The following is a 20,437-nucleotide window of genomic DNA, read 5'->3' as shown; positions in this document are numbered from 1 at the left end:
AATGAAAATGTTCTAAAACTATAATAATTTCAGAATTATATATACTAAATATACTCTGAATATACTAAAACCAGTGAATTCTACACTTTAAGTGGGTGAATTATGTGGAATATAAATTATATTTCAATAAAGCTGTTAAAAAACTATTTAGAAAAACTTCAGTTTCTGTAAAATAACAAAACCGAAAAACTAGACTAAAAATATTTAGAGAGCAGAGACTGTATTATTCATCTTTGTATTTCTTAAAAATGTATAGCCTGGGCACAGTGGCTCAGGCCTGTAACCCCAGCACTTTGGGAGGCCAAGGCGGGGCAGATCACGAAGTCAGGAGATTGAGATCGTCCTGGCTAACACGGTGAAACCCTGTCTCTACTAAAAATACAAAAAATTAGCTGGGCATGGTGGCACACGCTTGTAGTCCCAGCCACTCGGCAGGCTAAGGCAGGAGAATCGCTTGAACCCGGGAGGTGGAGGTTGCAGAGAGCTGAGATTGCGCCACTGCATTCCAGCCTGGGCGACAGAGCAAGACTCCATCTCAAAAACAAAAACAAACAAACAAAAACTTATAACAGAAGTTTACACACAGTAGGTGCTCAATAAATATTTACATAAATTTAATACAAATAACTGAAAAATATTGGACTTCAGGGTATTACTAAGAACAAATATTATGTACTCGACTCATTATTTGTAACTATATATTATATACACAATAAATATTATCCTTGCTAATCTAAAATAGGCTGGGCATGGTGGCTCATATCTGTAATCCCAGCACTTTGGGAAGGTGAGGCAGGAGGATCGGTTGAGCTCTGGAGTTCGAGACAAGCCTAGGCAACACAGCAAGGTGCCATCTCTCCAAAAATATTAAAATATTAGCCAAACATGGAGGCACATGCCTGTAGTCCTAGTTACTCAGGAGGCTGAGGTAGAAGGATCACTTGGGTCCAGAAATAGCAGATTACAGTGATCTATGATCATGTAACTGTACTTCAACCTGGGCAACAGAATGAGACCCTGTCTCTAAAATTTTTTTTTCATTCAGAAATCCTTTGGAATGCATAACAAGTTTCCTCAGCACCAGATTTCTTTTTTCTTAAATATGTTTTGCTAAATTAAACTCAGTTTCAATTCCCAGAATACTGTGCAAATCCTAAAGAGAGAGGGGGCAGGAAACAGGTCAGAAGTAAACCAGATGGAAACTAGCACTTTACTGTGAATAATACAAATGTACAGCTCACAAGGAAGGAAAGAACCAACTATACAGATGCTCCTCAACTTACAATAGGGTTACATCCTGATAAAACCATCATACGTTGAAAATATATGTTGAAAATGCATTTGATACACCTAACCTCCTGAACATTACAGCTTAATCTACCCCACCTTAAACATCCTCAAAACACGTTAGCCTACAACTGGGTGAGATAATCTAACACAAAGCCTATTTTATAACAAAGTGTTGACTATCTTATGTAATTTATTGAATACTGTATTGAAAGTGAAAAAAGAATGGTTATATGGGTACTTGAAGTATGATTTCTACTGAATAGGTATTGCTTTCAAACCATTGTAAAATTGAAAACCCATAGGTCAAACCATCATAAGTTGAGGATAGTCTGTATATCATTTCACCTTTTTATACACTTGGTCTTATATTCAATCACTATAGGGACTTAGGGGACTTTTTCATTCTATGTGGTGTTCTGAGTTACTGGAAGCTGGCACTCAGCTACTGAATTTAGCCATGTAGAAGGGGAATCTTCAAAAATGTCAAATGTGGAGAATAATCATATTCATATACTAGAAATGTTGTGGAAGTGTATTTCTAATTTTCTTAATTGTAAACTTTGTAAAAAAAAATCTATTTTTCCAGCATAAACTAAGTAAGATGACAAACTCTGGGTATATTGCAGCCATTATAGAGAAAAAAACATACCACCAAGGAAACTATCTCTTGGCAACTAAAATTAAAAAGAACTGTTACTTTTTCTTAAACTATTTATGTCCCTTCCTAGCAGTAGAACTTAAAGAGAATGACATCAAAAACATTGTGTGAATGAAAAACTGAGAATGACTTCCAAAGTAACAGCAAAAGAGTTTATACAGAGACAAACAGAGATAAGGAAACAAAAACAAAATACTAACTCATAAATGTGAATCTTAAGAATGTTAGAGCAACAGTAGAGATATGGGATTATATGTAATAGATCTCAAAACACTTCCGTACAGACTCTCAGATAGCTCTGCTGTTAATGATAGCCTTGAAGAAGAGGGTTAAAAGGATTAATGCAGATCCTGCAACATGAAGGCCTTGGAAGAAGTTGAGTCAGTCATTTATATAACAACCTATTTATTTATATTGGACACAAAAGAATTCCATAAACCATTCAATGGATCTCTCTAGAAGAACAATGACATGATGATGAGGGCACTGTGCATGTGTGTGTATGTGTGTGTGTAGAAAAGTAAGTCACTAATAAAAATAGAAATATAAATGGCTAATAGACATGGGGGGAAAGCTAAGTCTTTCCAGTAATTAAAGACAAACTAATTAAAATAGATAGCCTTCCTAAATCAAGGACCAGAGAGAGAGGAAAAAAGAGATAGTCTTTTTGGCTATCATAACTAGTAAAAGCTAATATATATATATATATATATATATATATATATATATATACACACACACACACACACACACACACACACTCAGTATTGAAAACAATGAAAAACATTTAAAAATACACATACCTTTTAATAAAACAATTCCATGCGTATTTATTTACATAGAGGTTCATGACAACATTATTTACATAGTGACAAATTGGAAACAATCTAAATGTCTAACTGTAGGATACTGTAAATAAATTATTTCACAGCTCTATTATACAAGATATGGAGCCATTTGAAATCATGGTATAGAAAAAAACCTAATCATAAGAAAATATGTTCACATGTTTTAAGAAGAACAGATGGAAGGCACAATTCCCGCTAAGAAAAACAAATACATATGCCTTTGTAGTCACTGAAAAAAGTCAGTTTTAGACACAGTTGTTTTCTAAAGAATTACCTGGTCCTTTAATCATCTTTGAGTCAGCTATATTGAAAATGGATGATTACTCTTTGTGCTGAATTTTGTCTGTGTCATGCTCAATCATTCTAAGCTGTTCTCTATATTGCAGAGATTGGAAATATACTGCAGAGACTGAAACTACAGCACTACAATTCTTGCAATCCTTTCTTGGGAGAGCTCTTGTTTAGATTTTGCCAGTGAAAAGCATTCATGACTTTTGGAAGACAGGGTGAAGGAAAAGCCATTATTGCCTTCTAACAGAAAGAATAGATAAGTGAACTGACAGCAGCCATGAGACTTGCAGCACATGGCAAAGGCACAGAACTACACCAATTTGTGGACAGTAGCTAACACTTCCACCAGATAATCAGGCACTTGGAAGAAATATGTGATAGAGCTTTGGAACAGGCACGGAGTATAAGGATATTCAGTCCCAGGTGAATGTCCTCCAAAGGGCATTCACTGCTGAGGAGCCTCTAGGTAATTAGGTACACAAGGTGACTCATTTTACGGTTATCAGTCAGTCTCCTTCCCCAGCTACCCCAGCTCAGTAGTACCAGAAACTAAACCAGCAAAAGAAACATAAAGCATCTACATTAATATCAGATAAAATAGACTTCAGGGCAAAAAGTGTCATGAGAGATAAAGAGGTTTGTGGCATAAAAATAAAAGGTTAAACTTATTAGGAAGATGTAACAATTCCACATTTGTGCACACTTAACATAGTTCAAAGGTCTATGAGCAAAATAACAGAACAGAAGGGGAAACTGACAAATCCACTTCATGTTTTTTTAAAAAACATATCTGAGAACTTTAAAGTATCTATCAGATATCAGTATTTGGTAGATAAAGCAGTCCAAAATCAGAGTATAGAAGATATGAACAATACTTTTAGTAGATTTGAGCTAATGGACATATATTGCATACCGCATCAAAAATCAGGAAACATGAAATGCTTTTCAAATGTACATGAGATATTTATAAAAATTAAAAATGCATTAGTACATAAATCGAATTTCAACCAAGTTCAAAGCATGGGTGTTCTATGAACATGAACTGCTCAGTATTGTAGCCAGTAGCCATATGTGACTATTTAAATCAATCAAAAATTAAGGATTTGGTCCTCATTCTCACTAGCCACATTTCAAGTGCTCAATAGCCACATATGACTAATGGCTACCATATTGGACAGTGCAGACACAAAACATTTCCATTACCATAGAAAGTGGTGCGATACAAAATATATTCTGACTATAACAAAATTAAGTATGAAATCAAGAACAAAACATTAATTTAGAAAAATCCATACTTTTTCTATATTCATGGGTAAAAAAAATATTATGGACACTGATATGGTCTGGCTCTGTGTCCCCACCCAAATGTCATCTTGAATTGTAATCCGAATTGTAATTTCCATATGTTGGGGGAAGGACCTCGTGGGAGGTGATTAGATCATGGGGATAGTTCCCCCATGCTGTTCTCATGATAGTGAGTGAGTTCTCATGAGATCTGATGGTTTTGTAAGGGGCTTTTACCCCATTAGCTCTGCGCTTCTCTCTCCTGCAACCATGTGAAGAAGGATGTGTTTGCGTCCCCTTATGCCATGATTGTAAGTTTTCTGAGGCCTCCCCAGCCATGCAGAACTGTGAGTCAATTAAACCTCTTTCATTTATAAATTACCTAGTCTAGGGTATATCCTTATAACAGCATGAGAATAGACTAATATGACACAGTAAAATACTTAAAACTGAACAATAATAAATCTACTACATATCAACATATATAGGATAGAGCAAAATTGTTATGTAGAAAAAACTTATAGCCTTAAATGCATAGATCAGAAAAAGAAGAAAAGCTGAAAATGTACGAGCTCAGTATCCAACTTCTTAAGTTACAAAGAATAAAATATAGAATAAACCAAAAGAAAGTATAATAATAGAGATGCACAGAAATTAAATAAATAGAAAAGAAAAAAGGAGAAATCACATGATAAAAGATATACTAAGGAAGGTACACATAAACAAAATTAAGCAGAGAAAATAACAGAAAACTTAGAACAATCTTATGCCAGCTTGATGAAATGGATAGATTTCAAGAAAAATGTAAATTACTAAAACTGACTCAAGAAGAAATAGAAAACTTTAATTATTCTATAACCAAAACAGAAATTGAATGAACAGTTCAAAATCTTATATGGCAGGTCCAGGAGGTTTAATAGACTAGTTTTCTCAAACTAGATCATCCTAATCTTACATGAATTCTTACAGAGAATTTTTTTTAAAAAGGAAATGTCCCCTACTCATTTTATAAAATTAGTATAACCTTGATACCTTGATATCAAAGTCAGACAAAGAAAGTGCAAGAAAGGAAATTCAGTGATCTGTAAGCCCACGGAAAAGACACCATGAGCAAAGCTCACCCTCTGGATTTAAAAAAATTTATGGACAAGAAGTTATAACTGAAATTAAATGGTGGCAGACATGTCCAAGGAATATTGTGGGGATTTGATCCCTTTATGAATCTTGTGATAGATAAATGTGTGGAGATGGCAACTAGCGGGCAACAAAACAATATTGGAATGGTGGTAATGCAAGGAAATAGTACCATCATGTTAGAAGACTTGGAATGTATAAATAATGACCATTCAGCAGAGAAATCCATGTCGCCTCTCCAAAGGGCCTGTTAAGTTAGGTAAAAATTATGTAAAAATTAGGTCATGTACATTTTCATATTAGACTTTTTGTTAAATAAACTTTTGTAATAGTCAAAAAAAGAAAATTAGTTGTAAACATGCTTGCAAATATTGTAATCTAAAGATTAGCAAACCCAGTAATGTATTAAAAAAGGAAATACAACATGACTAGCCTGGATTTATTCTAGAAATGCAAGATCACCTCAACATAAAAAATCTATTGATCTAATTAAACGTATTAACAAACTAGAAAAGAAAAACCATATAATTATTTGAATGAATGCAGGAAAGGCATTTGTTAAAATTCAATATCCAGTGATGATTTGTAAATACTAATAATTATGAATAAAGGAGAAATCTGATGAAGTCTTAATCTGATGAAGTGAGACTGGAAAGAGTTCTGAGAAGAACTCTGGAATCCATTAAAAACTTGAAACTTCCAGGGATAAGCTTGGATAGTAAATTGCAGTTAATTTCAGTCAATTTTAGCTCTTAGCTTAGCAGGAGCTACACATCCCATATCTCCCAGTCCCATGGCAGGCAGCCATGCATGTGTTCCTGGAGCAGCTTGAATGCAGGTTGTGGGAGCCAAAGTGGGAATAAGAACCCCTGTCCTCCAAAATTTGGAGATCTGTATTCTGGTTGATAATTGCTGCTTCTGATCATGGAGGTGCAGATACAGGTGAGCTGTCCTTGTTGCACACCCCACCTCTCATTGTTGGAAGCCCCTCCCACTCTAGCTCAAGTGACTTCCAGGGTACTTAAAGGGCAGGTTCCTTTAACTACCCCTTCATTTTTCTTTCCCACCCACTTTTGAAAACCAGACACTAAAGACTAGGACATTCAAAAGCAACTGCATACACAGAGGAAATTAGTTACTGCCCAGGGAAAGGCACAGGCTCAGAAAAGACCGTGAAGATCTTAAGTTTACATCTCAGGCTGATCCTTGACATGGAGACATCCTACAACAATTAAAACAAAAAGAAAAAATAGCAAACTGTGGGAAAGAGAGAAATTCTGACTTCCAGAGTTACCACATTATTAGTTTCAAATGTCCAGTTTTCAACAAATCACAAAGTATACAAAGAAAGAAGAAAGTACTGGCCATTTAAGGGAAAAAAATAAAACAGAAACTGTCCTAGAGAAAGACAATATGGCAACCCTACTCAACAATTACTTTAAAACCACTGTCTTATAAATACTCAAAGAACCAGCAGGAGACATGGAGAAAGTCAAGAAAATGACATACAAACAAAATACAAATTTCAGTAAAAAGACAGGAAACCTAAAAATAAACCAAAAAGAAATTCCACACTGAGCAAGGTGGTTCATGCCTGTAACTTAAGTACTTTGGGAAGGTGAAGTGAGAGGATCACTTGTGGCCAGGATTTTGAGGCTGCAGTGAGTTCTGATCATACCACTACACTCTAGCCTGGGCAACAGAGTGAGACCCTATCTTTAAAAGAAGAAAAAAAGAAGCTTAAAAATATAATAATTGAAATGAAAAATTCACTAGAGGTAGTCAGAGACAGATTTGAGCAGACAAAAAAAATCAGCAAACTTGAAGATTAGGAAAATAGAAATTATCAAGTCATTGAAGAATAGAAAGAAAAAAGATTGAAGAAAACTGAATAGAGCTTAACAAACCTGTGGGACACCATCAAATGAACCAACATACACATTGTAATAGTTACAGAAGAAGAAAAGAAAGAGAAAGTGGCAGAGAGATTATTTGTAGAATAATAGCTGAAAACTTTCCAAGTTTGATGAAAGATAAACATCTGAGAAGTTCAGCAAATTCTAAGTAGGATGAACTCAAAGAGACCCACATTGAGACACATTATAATCAAACTGTCAAAGGCCAAAGACAAAGAGAAAAATTTGAAAACAACAAGAGAGAAGTGACATATCACATATAAGGGATTATTAACAAGATTGTCAGCAAATTTCACATCAGAAACTTTGGAAGCAAAAAAGCAGTGGGCAGACATAGTCTAAGTGCTGAAAGAAAAAAAACCTGTCAACTAAAAATCCTATATCCAGCAGCCCTGTCCCTCAAAAATGAGGAATAAATTAAGACATCCCCAGATAAACAAAAGCTGGAGTTTGTTACCACTAGACCTGCCTTTCAAGAAATGCTAATGGTAATCAGTCCTGCATGTTGAAATGAAACGACACTACACAGTAACTTAAAGCCACATGAAGAAATAAAAATCTCAGTAAAGGTAAATACATGGGCAATCATTAAAGGTAGTATTATTTTAACAACAGTTTGTAGCTTCATCTTTGGTATTCTATATGGTTTAAGAGACTAATACTTTTAAAAAAAACTGTAAGTCCAAAAGCTAATATAATAATACTTGTAATTTTGGTCTGTAATTCCACATTTTGTTTTCTATATAATTTAAGAAAGTAATGTATTTTTTTTTTTTTTGAGACAGAGTCTTTCTCTGTTGCCCAAGCTAGAATGCAGTGGCATGATCACAGCTCAATGAGACAGAGTCTTTCTCTGTTGCCCAAGCTAGAATGCAGTGGCATGATCATGGCTCAATGCAGCCTCAACTTCCTGGGCCCAAGTGATTCTACTACTTCAGCCTCCGGAGTAGCTGGGGCTACAGGCATGCACCACCACACCTGGATAATTTTTGCATTTTTTTTTTTGTGGAGAAAGGGTTTTGCCATATTGACCCGAATTCCTGGTCTTGAACTCCAGGGCTCGAGCAGTCCTCCCACCTCATCCTCCCAAAGTGCTTGGATTATAGCCATGAGTCACCATGCCCAGCTGAGAAACTAGTGCATTTTAAAAAAACAGTTACTAGTTTATGTGTTTTGGACACACAATATGTATACTTTTATGATACCAATAACTGAAAGGGGTGAGGATGGACATGTAAAGGAGAAGAATTTTTGTATGTTATTAAAATTAAACTAGTATAAATTCAAATTAGAGTGTTACAACTTTAGAATGTTAAATGTAATCTCCATGGTAACCACAAAAAAAAGCTAGAAAAATGTGCACAAAGGGAAATGATAAGCGAATTAAAACATTACACTATAAAAATCAACTGAACACAACAGAGAGTAATGCGCAGTAATGCAGGAAATGAGAGACAAAAAAGCTATAAGACAAATAGAAAACAGCAAGACAAACAAAAGAAGTCACACCTTATCAGTAATTACTTTAAATGTAAACAGATATAAACTCTCCAATCAAAAGAAAGAGATTGGCAGAATGGATTTAAAAACATGATCCAACTCTATGCTGTCTATAAGAGCTTTGCTTTAGATCCAAAGACACAAGCAGATTGAAAGTGGTAGGGTGGAAAAAGATATTCCACGTAAATATAAACCAAAAGAGAGTAGAGGTGGCAATACTAATATCAGAAAAGATAGCCTTTAAAAAACCACAGAAGTTAACAGAAAACAAAGAACTGGTTTTTTTTTTAGAGACAATATCTTGTTATGTTGTCCAGGCTGGAGTACAGTGGCTAGTCACAGGCCAAATCATAGCACATTATAGCCTCAAACTCCTGGGCTCAAGGGATCCTCCTGCCTCAGCCTCTGGAATAGCTGAGACTACAGGTGCATACCACCATACCTGGCTAGGACATCATATACTAATAAAAGTTTTAATACGGCATTTGAATATATAACAATGACAAAAATCTATGTACCTAGGAACACTGTATCAAAATATATGAAGCAAAAGTTGACAGAATTGAAAGAAGAAATAGTTCTATACTAACAGTTGGAGACTTCAATATCCTATTCTCAATAATGGATAAAACAAACAAACAAAAAGGAAATAAAGACGTGCAAAGAAATAGAGAACTTGAACAACACAATGTGCCAATTAGACCTAACAGACAAATACAGACATTCTAGCCAACAACAATAGAATACACATTTTTCTCTTGTGTACCTGGAACATTCTCCAGATAGACTATAAGGGAGTCCACATATTAAGTCTCAATACATTTTAAAAAGATAGGTATAATACTAAATATTTTCTTCAACCACAATGAGATGAAGTTGGAAATCAGTAACAGAATGAAAACTGGAAAATTCACAAATTTGTGGCAATTAAACAACACACTCTTAAACAACAAATGATCAAAGAAAAAATCACAAGAGAAATCATAATATTAATTGCTAATCAAAACTACAATGAGATATCACATCACATCCATTAGAATGACAACTATTTTTTAAAAAACAGAACATAACAAGTGTTGGCGAAGATATGAAAAAATTTAAACCTGTGTGCACTGTTGATGAGAACATAAAATGGTACAACCTCTGTGGAAAACAGTATAGCAGTTCCTTAAAACATTAAAAATAGAATTACCATAAGATCCAGCAATTCCACTTCTGGGTATATACCCAAAAGAATTGAAAGCAGGGTCTCAAAGGGATACTTGTACACCATGTTCATAGAAGCATCATTCACAATAGCTAAAATGTGAAAGCAACCCAGTGTCTGTCAACAGATGAATGGATAAAAAAATGTGGTGTATACTTACAACGGAATGCTATTCAGCCTTAAAAAAGAAGGAAGTTGTGATATATTCTACAATATGGATGAAACTTGAGGACATTTTGCTATGTGAAAAAGCCAGTAAAAAAAAAAATGTATCATTCCACTAACGTGAGGTACACAGAGTAGTCAAAGTCATAGTGAAAGAAAGTAGAATGGTGGCTGCTAGTAGCCATGAGGAGGGATGAGGAGTTACTGTTTAATGGGCACAGAGTTTCAGTTTTGCAAGATGAAGAGTTCGGGAGATAGACAGTGGTGATAGCTACACAACAATATTTTACTTGTGTACTAGTATCACGGAACTGTACATTTAAAAATGGTTATGATGGTAAAATTTATGTTATGTGTATTTTACCACAAATTTTAAAAACTGAAAAAAAATGAAGTGTAAAATTTTAAAACCAGATAATATAGAAGACGATTTTATAACTTTGAGGTAAGAGAAGATTTTTTTAAATATAAAAAGTACAAGCCATAAAGGAAAATATTGTTTAAATGGACTACGTTTAAATACATAATGTCTGTTTATTAAAATACACCATAGAGATCAAAGTCATGCAAAAAGTGGTAAAAGAGATCTATAAGACAATCAGCAAAGGACTTATATAAAAAATATGTATAAAACTCCTACAAAGCAAGAAGAAAAAGATAACCTAATTTTAAAATGGGCAAAGGGCAAACAGGCACTGAGGAGGAAATGTGAATGGACAATAAATATATGCTCACATCTCACTGGTAATCAGTAAAATGCAGATTGAAACTACAATGAGATACCATTTCAGACCTATCATATTACCAACTATGGGTAAGGATGTGGAGTGAACAAAATATCTTGTGGAAAAATGCACACTCTAGATTCCCTTTATATTAGGCTCTTCAAATGTAAAACTAAATAGTATATTATTTAGGGATATATATATATTTATTTATAGCTAAACTGTAAAAATTATCAAGAGAATTAGAAACTTCAAATTAATGAAAGTGTTTACCTTTGGAGAGGGTAAGAACAGGTTGTCCTGGCCGGGTGCAGTGGCTCACGCCTGTAATCCCAGCACTTTGGGGGGCTGAGGTGGGTGGATCACCTGAGGTCAGGAGTTTGAGACCAGTCTGACCAATCTGGGGAAACCCCATCTCTACTAAAAATACAAAAATTAGCTGGGTGTGGTGGCGGGCACCTGTAATCCCAGCTACTCAGGAGGCTGAGGCAGGAGAATTGCTTGAACCTGGGAGGCGGAGGTTGCAGTGAGCTGAGATTGCACCATTGCACTCCAGCCTGGGTGACAGAGAGAGACTCTGTCTCAAAAACAAAACAAAAGAAAACAAAACAAAACAGGTTGTCCTTAAGGAGAGGCATACAAGGAGTGACAAAATATTGATAATGTTCTATTTCTTTGGCTGGGGGGCACAGGTGCTCATTCCTTTTTTAAAACTGAACACGTTTTACATGTTATTTTGTATACATATATGTTTCATAAGAAATTTTTATGTAAAAGAGGAAGACCTTCCAAATCTAAAATCTTTTTTTATTACTGGAAGTACTACACAGTGGATTATTTCCCTGGTGATCACAGGTTCTGCCTACAGTGTAGCCACTGATTCTAAAGATAATAAAGTCTGCAGAGTCTGAAATGCAGCAAAGGTGTAACCCTTGAGTCATCAAGACAAGGTAAGCAGATGTTAAGTATAAAAAATATACATAGGAAAAGTACATTTGAAAAGATGCAGGGAAGGCAACTTAAAAAATGTAGGGAAGGAAAATCTACAGTACATGTCTTATATATAGTACATATCATACAGTACATGTATGACCCAGTAGAATTTTTTTTTTTTTGAGATGAAGTCTCATTCTGCCACCCAGGCTGGAGTACAGTGGTGCGATCTCAGCTCACTGCAACCTCTACCTCCTGGGTTCAAGTGATCCTCCTGCCTCAGCTTCCCTAGTAGCTGGGATTACAAGCATGCACCATCATGCCCAGCTAATTTGGGGTGGTTTTTTTTGTTTGTTTTTTATTTATTTATTTATTTTGAGATGGAGTCTCACTCTGTGGCCCAGGCTGGAGTGCAGTAGTGCGATCTCGGCTCACTGCAACCTCTGCCTCCCAGGTTCACACCATTCTCCTGCCTTAGCCTCCCAAGTAGCTGGGACTACAGGTGCCCACCACCACACCCGGCTAATTTTTTTTACATTTTTAGTAGAGATGGGGTTTCACCGTGTTACCCAGGCTGGTCTCGAACTCCTGACCTCAGGTGATCTGCCCACCTTGGCCTCCCAAAGTTCTGGGATTATAGGCATGAGCTACCGTGTCCAGCCAAGACCAAGTAGAAATTTTATATTGTTTTAGAAGAATTAGGTATATAGAAGATGAGGTAGGTAAAAAGGGACAGACGGTCTCATTTCAAGAAAAATAGAATATAGCCAACTGGAAAAGAAAGAAGATCATGAGGTAACTATAGTACACTCAAGATTGTTTTAAATCTTTCCTCAAAACCAGAAACCTAAAAATTAATTTTCCACAAATGCCTTTTCAACAAATAGGCATTTCCTACACTTACTGTGAAGCTAAGATAGTTATTTTTAAAGGTAGTCAAAGCTGATACTTTGCTGCGAATACTATCGTTCTTTTTCCTTTTCTTCTTCTTTTTTTTTTTTTTTTTTTTTTTTTTTTTTGAGACGGAATCTTGCTCTGTCGCCCAGGCTGGAGTGCAGCGGCGGATCTTGGCTCACTGCAACCTCCGCCTCCCGGGTTCAAGCGATTCTCCTGCCTCAGCCTCCCGAGTAGCTGGGATTACAAGTGCATGCCACCATACCCGGCTAATTTTTTGTATTTTCAGTAGAGACGGGGTTTCACCGTGTCAGCCAGGATGGTCTCCATCTCCTGACCTCCTGATCTGCCCGCCTTAGCTTCCCAAAGTGCTGGGATTACAAGCATGAGCCACCACGCCCAGCCTAGTGCGAATACTATTTTTCTAAAGCAGTTTTGCACTATCTGTTTCTGTTACATTGTAGAAAACTCAAATTCCCAGGTGGTATCCCAAGTTTTTAAGCAACTTTGACAAAAACAAACAAACAAAGTATGCATTTCTGTTTTGTTTCTGGTAGCACTTAAGCTCTGACCAAGCAGTGCAAGACTGCTTTCTGGGCTACTGTTTCTGATACTTATCTGTCCCCTTTATTTTCCACACTAGCACATTCTTTGCCTACTTCTCTAGTCCAAATGATCAAATTTATACAGCATTGATTTCTTATATCAGCTTAATCCTAGATAAGCTTGTTGTGGTACCTTTTGGCATACTATTCCTTGTCCTCATCGCATGGACTGTGGAAGCAAACAACTCTGAATTTGAATACTAGATCTATAACCTAGAAACTATGGTACCTCTGGCAAGTCATTTATGCTCTCTGAATCTCAGATCTCTTATACATTCAAATGATTAATAATAACAATGCCTATTTTGGAAGAATTGACTTTTATATGCTTAAATTTATTCAAACATCTTAAGAGTAGATTTAGGTACAGATGGTAGGATGCTCAGTTCTACTCAGACTCGCTTCCCAGTTTTATCTCTGGGTATGGTCTTCAAACATCGTCCTCAATTCTAGCAGTCAGCAGAGATGCTTTTCTGCTGTGTAGCTTTCATGGTCCCTGTAAGACCTACAGGTCTCTAGCTACTAAGATAAAAACACCTGTTATATGGTCCTTAGATTCCTTATCTAAATTTTAGCTCTCATGCTGATTTTGCAAATATCTTCCTTGCCCTTTTCTTGGAAATCACTGTATTTTCTCATTCTGGATTGTCTACCTTGATGCCTTTTTCTTTCTAACTTGTCTGAAAAATACTTACTTAGCTAGATAAGGTCAGTTCACTGTCTTCTTTTTTAAGCTCTCATAAGATTTTTCTCATGAGAGACCTCTGTCTACTACAAGGATCTGTTTTCTCTATTATCTTCACACCCCACCCCATTCTCTCCATGAAAACATTCCACAATATCATGTTATAGAAAATAAATTAGGAAAAAAACCCAGATTCTAATTTCAGTCCTTTTACTTACCAAATACATGACTTTCACCAAATCATTTAACTCACCTCTGAGTTAGTTTTTTCATCTGCAAAATAGTGATATGCCCTAAGACACATACTTAAGAGGTTGAAGATCAAATGCAATAATGCAGATGAATATGCATTGAAACTGTAGTTCTATAATATAATACAGAAGGTATTATCCATTCAACAAAGAGATAGAAGATAAAGGAATCTGAATTCAAACTGCCAGAGCAGGAATCCTGGGTCAATCATCTACTAGCTTTACCTTTTAATATGTAAAATGAGTATTACAGCACCTATTTCATATGACATTAGCTTAACGATGTTGGCTACTATTGCTGTTACTAAATGCCTACTGTGTTAGGCATTCTATTAGATACTGGTAATAAAATGGAATTAAGACTGACAGGGCTAATATCTGTGCCAAAACCTCTATCTCCTACTCCATCTACTACATTTTCTAAGTCATTTATGTCATATGTACTTAACAGCAAAGAAAAATCTAAGTAGTAAAGCATTTCCATAGAACATCAAGATAAGAGTCCAGAATTCCACTCTTTCTTTTCTATAATAATTTCCAGTAAACACTATAGTGATTCTAGTATTTCTTTTCCTAATCCATCACTTGAGTTGAAACTTTCCTGATGACTTCTGGGTAAACTATCTGAGATGTTTCTATCAAATGTAAATAATCTAAGGTAGTATTTCTCAAAGTAACACCTAAAGACCATCTGCTTCCCAATCACCTAAAATGCTAATTAAAAGGCAGATTTCTAGGCCCTCTTTCAGATCTATTGATTCCAAAGCTCTGGCTGGAAGATGGGAGAGTCTGCATTTCTAATAAGTCCCTGTGTGATTTTTATGAAAACCGGATGTGAGAACCATGTTCCCAAGAGGGAAAAACTCCCACTACATAAGAAGTTTATAAGGCCGGGAATGGTGGCTCGCTCCTGTAATCCCAGCACTTTGGGAGGCCGAGGCGGGCGGATCACGAGGTCAGGAGATCGAAACCATCCTGGCTAACATGGTGAAACTCTGTCTCTACTAAAAATACAAAAAATTAGCCGGGCACGGTGGCAGGCGCCTGTAGTCCCAGCTGCTCGGGAGGTTGAGGCAGGAGAATGGCGTGAACCCGGGAGGTGGAGCTTGCAGTGAGCCCAGAAGGCACCACTGCACTCCAGCCTAGGCGACAGAGCAAGACTCCATCTCAAAAAAAAAAAAGTTTATAGCCAAAGGAAATTCTGCGCAATAATGATCCAAAGCTTCATAAAGGAGAAAAATTTTAATCCTCAGAATACATTTTCACATGCTTCTGTTAACAGGGTGGAGACAACAATTCATGGAGACTGAGACCAAAAGTGACTTGAATATACGCACCCTAATTGTGTGTGTTCAATAAATTCCTATTCTAGAGGCCAAGAGAACGGGTGGAAAGGGGATACACTGCAAATGCTTACTTAAATTTCAGAAGAAGGAAATAAAACTTATTGCAATAGTCAGGTAGGTCTGTTAAAACTGAAGTTTCATGATCTCAGAAAATGGAACCACTTTCTCTTAAACTCAGCTAAGTCATGACAGACCTCCCCGCTCCAACTCTCCATGCCTACCACAAACCTTGGATAATCTCCCAAATGTAAACCTTGTCTACCGTATCCTGTGACCATTAGAACAATCAGAGGCAAGGAGATACACGGTCTTTTGATTAAAGTAAACTGAAATAACCAATTAAAATTTACATTTGTGCCTCTCGCTCAAATAAACAGTTATAGAAGAGCTCTCACTGAGATGTGGAACAGAATCAAGCAGCTCTGAACTTTTCAAATAATAACAACTGTTATTTCCAAATAACAATTTCTAAATAACAAGCTGATGAACAAAATATTTATTTACCCACCAAGCCACAGTAGCCTGAGACATTCTCTGGTTCAGATAATAAAATAAATGCCTTAGAGGGCTTTCGTTCCTAAGATGCTGGTGAGTTTAGCACTGTGACTGCAAGAAATCGGGAACCTACGACAAAAAGACGCCCAGCCTGCCCACACTAACCGTCCAGAACTAGGTCTGGAGCAGCAAGGCGGGCGGGGCCGCGATTTCTTCCGCATCGCTGCGCCCGTTCTTCTCCGCCTGCGTGAGCACCGCCCACCCACTCGCGGTGTGAACATACTGGGTCTCGCCTCTCCTTTCCCCTCCCCTCGGCCTGGTGCTGAATCATGAGCCCAATGTCTCCAAAAGGTAAAATCAAAGAACAAAGCCACCCTTGGGGCTGGTCTGAATGGGGTACCACGTCGGGGTGGGGCAGAAGGCTGGAAACCACAACTTTGCTCTCCTTCTTCCCCAATTCCCCCACCCAACCCCCAAATTAAGAGGAGTACTGCAGTGCTCAGGAATTCCCAAGAGGGTGGCCCTTCTCCCAGTTGCTCGGTCTGCTACCGTCCGTCCGGGACCCGGCGCGCTCCGCCTCATTGTTCCAGCGCGCCGCCCGCCGCCCGCCGCCGGGAGCCCGCGCCCTGCAGAGCCAGCGAGTTGGCGGCTCCCGGGGAGGGGGGTTGGGGCTTGGCCTGCTCTAGATCCCCGACCCCTCGCCCCTCTGGGGCCGAGTAACAACAGCCCCCTGCCCACCCCCATAGCCTTCCTCCCAACCGATCGCTAAGGCGGAACCCACAAGTCCCCGGAGGCGCCTGGTGGGTGCTGTCCAAATGCTGGGAGGAGGCGGGAGGGGGGTGGGGAAGAAGGAGCTGGAGGCCCGGCCTGCGCGAAGCTGCAGCCCTCACCCCGACAGCGCGATTCGGTGACGCGGGTACCGCTCGGCCATGGTTCCTCCGCCCAAACAGGGAGCGGCTCGGCTACGGCCCGTCTCCCAGCCGTGGACGCAGGCACCTAGCAGCCCTTGGCCCTCCCTGTCTCCACAGAAGCAGAAAGTGGAGGGCCAGAAGACCCCGTGCAGGCTGCAGAAGTTCTCATTTGCTACTCACCCCAACTGTTTCTGTCCCTGCGGTTCTTGGCCATGGTGGTCCAGGAGCTGGTGGCGGTGAGGCGCTGTCACTGCGCTCGCTGCCTTCTCCGGGGCCGCAGGTTGCTGGCGGTGGGAGGCTCCGTGCCCGCGCTGGGCGCAGTTCGCTCAGACTCTGAGGATGTTGCTGTGGCGCTGGTGGGAAGGAGTGGGGAGGAAAAGGGAGGAGAAAGCAGATGAACCAAGCTCAGCATCACAAGCCCGAGTTCACACAGATACCAGCGTCACACCCTCCCTACCTCAGTCCACCCCCAGACCGTGAAGACAGTGATAGACCACGTACCGCAACATTTTCAACGGAAAACACAAACAAATAAACAGCACCCCCCTCGAACACACTCTCAAAGAATTTAACAGCGTTATCAGAAATACACAAACCGATATACTGCATGATTCTGGATGTTCAAATACCTGTTTCAAGCACGGTTATACATTAGTACAAACAAGCTGGCAACATTTATATAGCCAAAGTAGCTAAAATAATGTGCATTTATCTACGAGGCACCCATTTTTTTTTCCATTTTAAAAGCAAGGTCATGTTAGTAAAGAGGGTATCATGCATTTTTGTATATGTATACTGAGTAGTTTGTCTTAAAATTAGAATAGCAAAATTTATATCAAGAAGATCAAGATAAATGAAAGCTGTAGATTCATTACGATCTGTAACTCAATATCCACTGGGTAAAATTTCCCACTAGATTTGCAAAGATAAGGTCCAGACCTATAGTCCAATAGCAATTATTTGAGCTGAAATCATACTACATAGTCTGGGTATGGGTGGGCCCTGGCAGCCATAAAGGTTGCAGACAATTTTGAAAGGAAAAGAAAAAAAATAAAAATACTTTCAATCTTTCCCTTTTCACTGCTTTCTCTCTGCTACAAACTTAGTTGTTTTCAGTAACCTGGAAACACTGTCCCTTTATACTACCTCAACCTCAAGATACCATCATGCCGTCCCTTACAGTTTCCTTCTGCCATTTGGTTGTTACTCACACTCTGTACTGATCGGTTCTTAGGAGATCACTGCCAGCCTCTTAATTACCAGATCCATGATCTCTGCTAATTCCTCATGGTAAGCAACTCCTCACGCTACACTCTCTCAATGTAATTTACTATGATGGCTTCAGACAGGACCTCCATGCTGATGATTCCCAAATCTATACTTGTAGTCTTCTGCCCTCTAGAAGAGAGGACATTATACCAGAGGTGTGTTTATAACTGCCTAAGGTTATCCTCACGTTGTTTTCCTACTGACATTTGAACATCAACATATCTGAAAACAAACTCCCCCACCACTGCCAAATCTTATGCATTATATTTCAGTTACTGGTTCTAGTGACTGCAGAGTCGTGAACACTGTAACCAAGTTTACAACATGGTTTTAAAGAAGTCTGTGCTCAACAGAGTTGAAATGACATTAATGAAACAACATAGGAAGACAGACATTATCTCATCCTTATACCTATAAACCAAGTTCATAGAACAAAAGAGAAGTGTGGTCTGCTTTTCTTCTTATATTCCTTTACTATCATTCTCAGCTTACATTCCAGCCTGAAAATCCCTTTCATATGAATCCCATTTTTAAGAGTACAATAGATTACACACAAAAAAGAAAAAATTTATATAATTCAACACCTATGCCCAATTGAAAAAGAAATTAATTTTTTAAAAACCTGTTGTGTTTATAATTAGTAAGTAATCTGCAGGTGAATACTTTGAGACTGTGTGAATCACAAAAAAATGCTTAAATAAATAGCTCTCTGTATGTGACTTTTTGTACTATTGGCCAATAACTTTTCATCCACTGATTTTAGCATCCATTGATCCTTGCCTGAATCAATTTCATATTAGTGATTTTTTAAATGGAGGCTTTAAAATCATTATCTGTTGTTTGTTTGTTTTCCAGACACAGTCTCCCTCTGTTGCCCAGGCCGGAGTGCAGTGGCGTGATCTCAGCTCACTACAACCTCCACCTCCCAGGTTCAAGCGATTCTCATGCCTCAGCCTCTCAAGTAGCTGGGATTACTGGCGGTCGCCAGCACGCCTGGCTGTTTTTGTATGTAGAGACGGGGTTTCTCCATGTTGCCCAGGCTGGTCTCAAACTCATGAGCTCAAGCGATCTGCCCACCTCAGCCTCTTGATGTCATGTCTTTTAAATTAAGTAGCTGGCATTCCCTCTCCCACTTTTCTATGTTGAGTCCCTCTATAAATTAATGGAAGCTTTTAAAAAAATTGTGCTATGCATCACCATTCTTTTTAATGCCTAAATTCCCCTAATTTGGCTGAGGGTCAGCTCGTGTGTCCTTTTAACATTGTCCCTTTTTGTCTTTGAGCAGTTCCCTGTATTCTGGTAAAAGAAAATGTTTCAGGTTCCTTTGTATTTTCCCTATCTTAGAACTAGAATAGCCATTTCTCCAAGATGCTGTGGCTCCTTTTAACGAGAAAAGGTGTTTAGAAACCAAGACGTGGGTGCTAGTTGTGCTCATTGCTGGGTGAAGATCACTGTTTCTAGACCCTTTCAGTGGACATTGCTAGAATGCATCTTTTTAATCATAAGTTTAATCTACTCTGAAGAAATACCTCAATAGTATGAAAATATAAACATACATGGTTATGTATTACATTACTTTTTGTTATTGTAAAATGCTGGAAACAACCTGAATGCCCACATATAGATGAGTGGTTGAATACATTATAATACATATACGCAATAGAATGTTATGTAGGTGTGAAAAAGAATACAGAAGATCTTTATAAGCTAATACAGAGTGATTTCCAGAATACAATGTTAAATGAGGAGGAAAAAGTGAAAATAGTATACCATTCCTGGAAAAAGGAAAGGATATGAAAAAAGTATCCATTCATCTGTGAAAAATAAATACAGCAAGACTAAACCAGAAACCAATGAGATTGGTCACCTACGGGAGATGGGTGGGAATAGGGTAGAAATAATGGAAGAATGGGAAGAGGGTAGTAGGGATTAAGGGGACTGATATTTCTCTAAGTGTAATGCTTTTATATAACTCTGAGTCTTAGAACAGTAATGTTTCACATTCTCCAGAATAAGTTTTAAAATGCTTA

General features: G+C 38.1%; 2 protein-coding genes and 1 pseudogene across 7 annotated transcripts in view, besides 3 other annotated features; 2 read left to right on the top strand and 1 right to left on the bottom strand.

Moving 5' to 3' along the window:
• Window positions 1-20,437, bottom strand: part of ATL1 (atlastin GTPase 1) — a 99,987-nt gene that overhangs the window by 55,451 nt on the left and 24,099 nt on the right. For 2 of the 4 annotated variants that reach the window (XM_047431430.1, NM_001127713.1), the window contains exon 2: window positions 17,319-17,491. In XM_047431430.1, the coding sequence (XP_047287386.1) occupies window positions 17,319-17,352 (34 nt within the window). In that variant the 5' untranslated portion in view covers window positions 17,353-17,491. Of the gene's footprint in view, window positions 1-17,318; window positions 17,492-20,437 lie in introns of those variants that run through there. The other 2 variants (NM_181598.4, NM_015915.5) reach the window with 1 other exon arrangement.
• On the top strand, window positions 5,445-5,844 carry SNRPGP1 (small nuclear ribonucleoprotein polypeptide G pseudogene 1; annotated as a pseudogene).
• MAP4K5 (mitogen-activated protein kinase kinase kinase kinase 5) overlaps window positions 16,492-20,437 on the top strand; it is a 142,606-nt gene continuing 138,660 nt past the window's right edge. For all 3 annotated transcript variants that reach the window (XM_047430898.1, XM_047430897.1, XM_047430893.1), the window contains exon 1: window positions 16,492-16,578. The gene's annotated coding sequence lies outside the window, so the exon portion shown is untranslated. The remainder of the gene's footprint in view (window positions 16,579-20,437) is intronic.
• Window positions 16,779-17,138: a silencer, noted in NCBI's record as "silent region_5724". NCBI's record gives its function as "represses an Ori minimal core promoter by ATAC-STARR-seq in GM12878 lymphoblastoid cells {active_cell/tissue: GM12878}" and the evidence as "EXISTENCE:reporter gene assay evidence [ECO:0000049][PMID:35858748]".
• Window positions 16,779-17,379: a biological region, named in NCBI's record as "H3K4me1 hESC enhancer GRCh37_chr14:51026957-51027456".
• Window positions 16,880-17,379: an enhancer, noted in NCBI's record as "H3K4me1 hESC enhancer chr14:51026957-51027456 (GRCh37/hg19 assembly coordinates)". NCBI's record gives its function as "activates a minimal SCP1, AML or CMV promoter by ChIP-STARR-seq in naive H9 embryonic stem cells {active_cell/tissue: H9 hESC(naive)}" and the evidence as "EXISTENCE:reporter gene assay evidence [ECO:0000049][PMID:30033119]".

This window comes from Homo sapiens, chromosome 14, assembly GCF_000001405.40.
Source record: "Homo sapiens chromosome 14, GRCh38.p14 Primary Assembly".
Lineage (NCBI taxonomy): Eukaryota > Metazoa > Chordata > Mammalia > Primates > Hominidae > Homo > Homo sapiens.
This window is presented reverse-complemented; position numbering and strand designations above follow the sequence as displayed.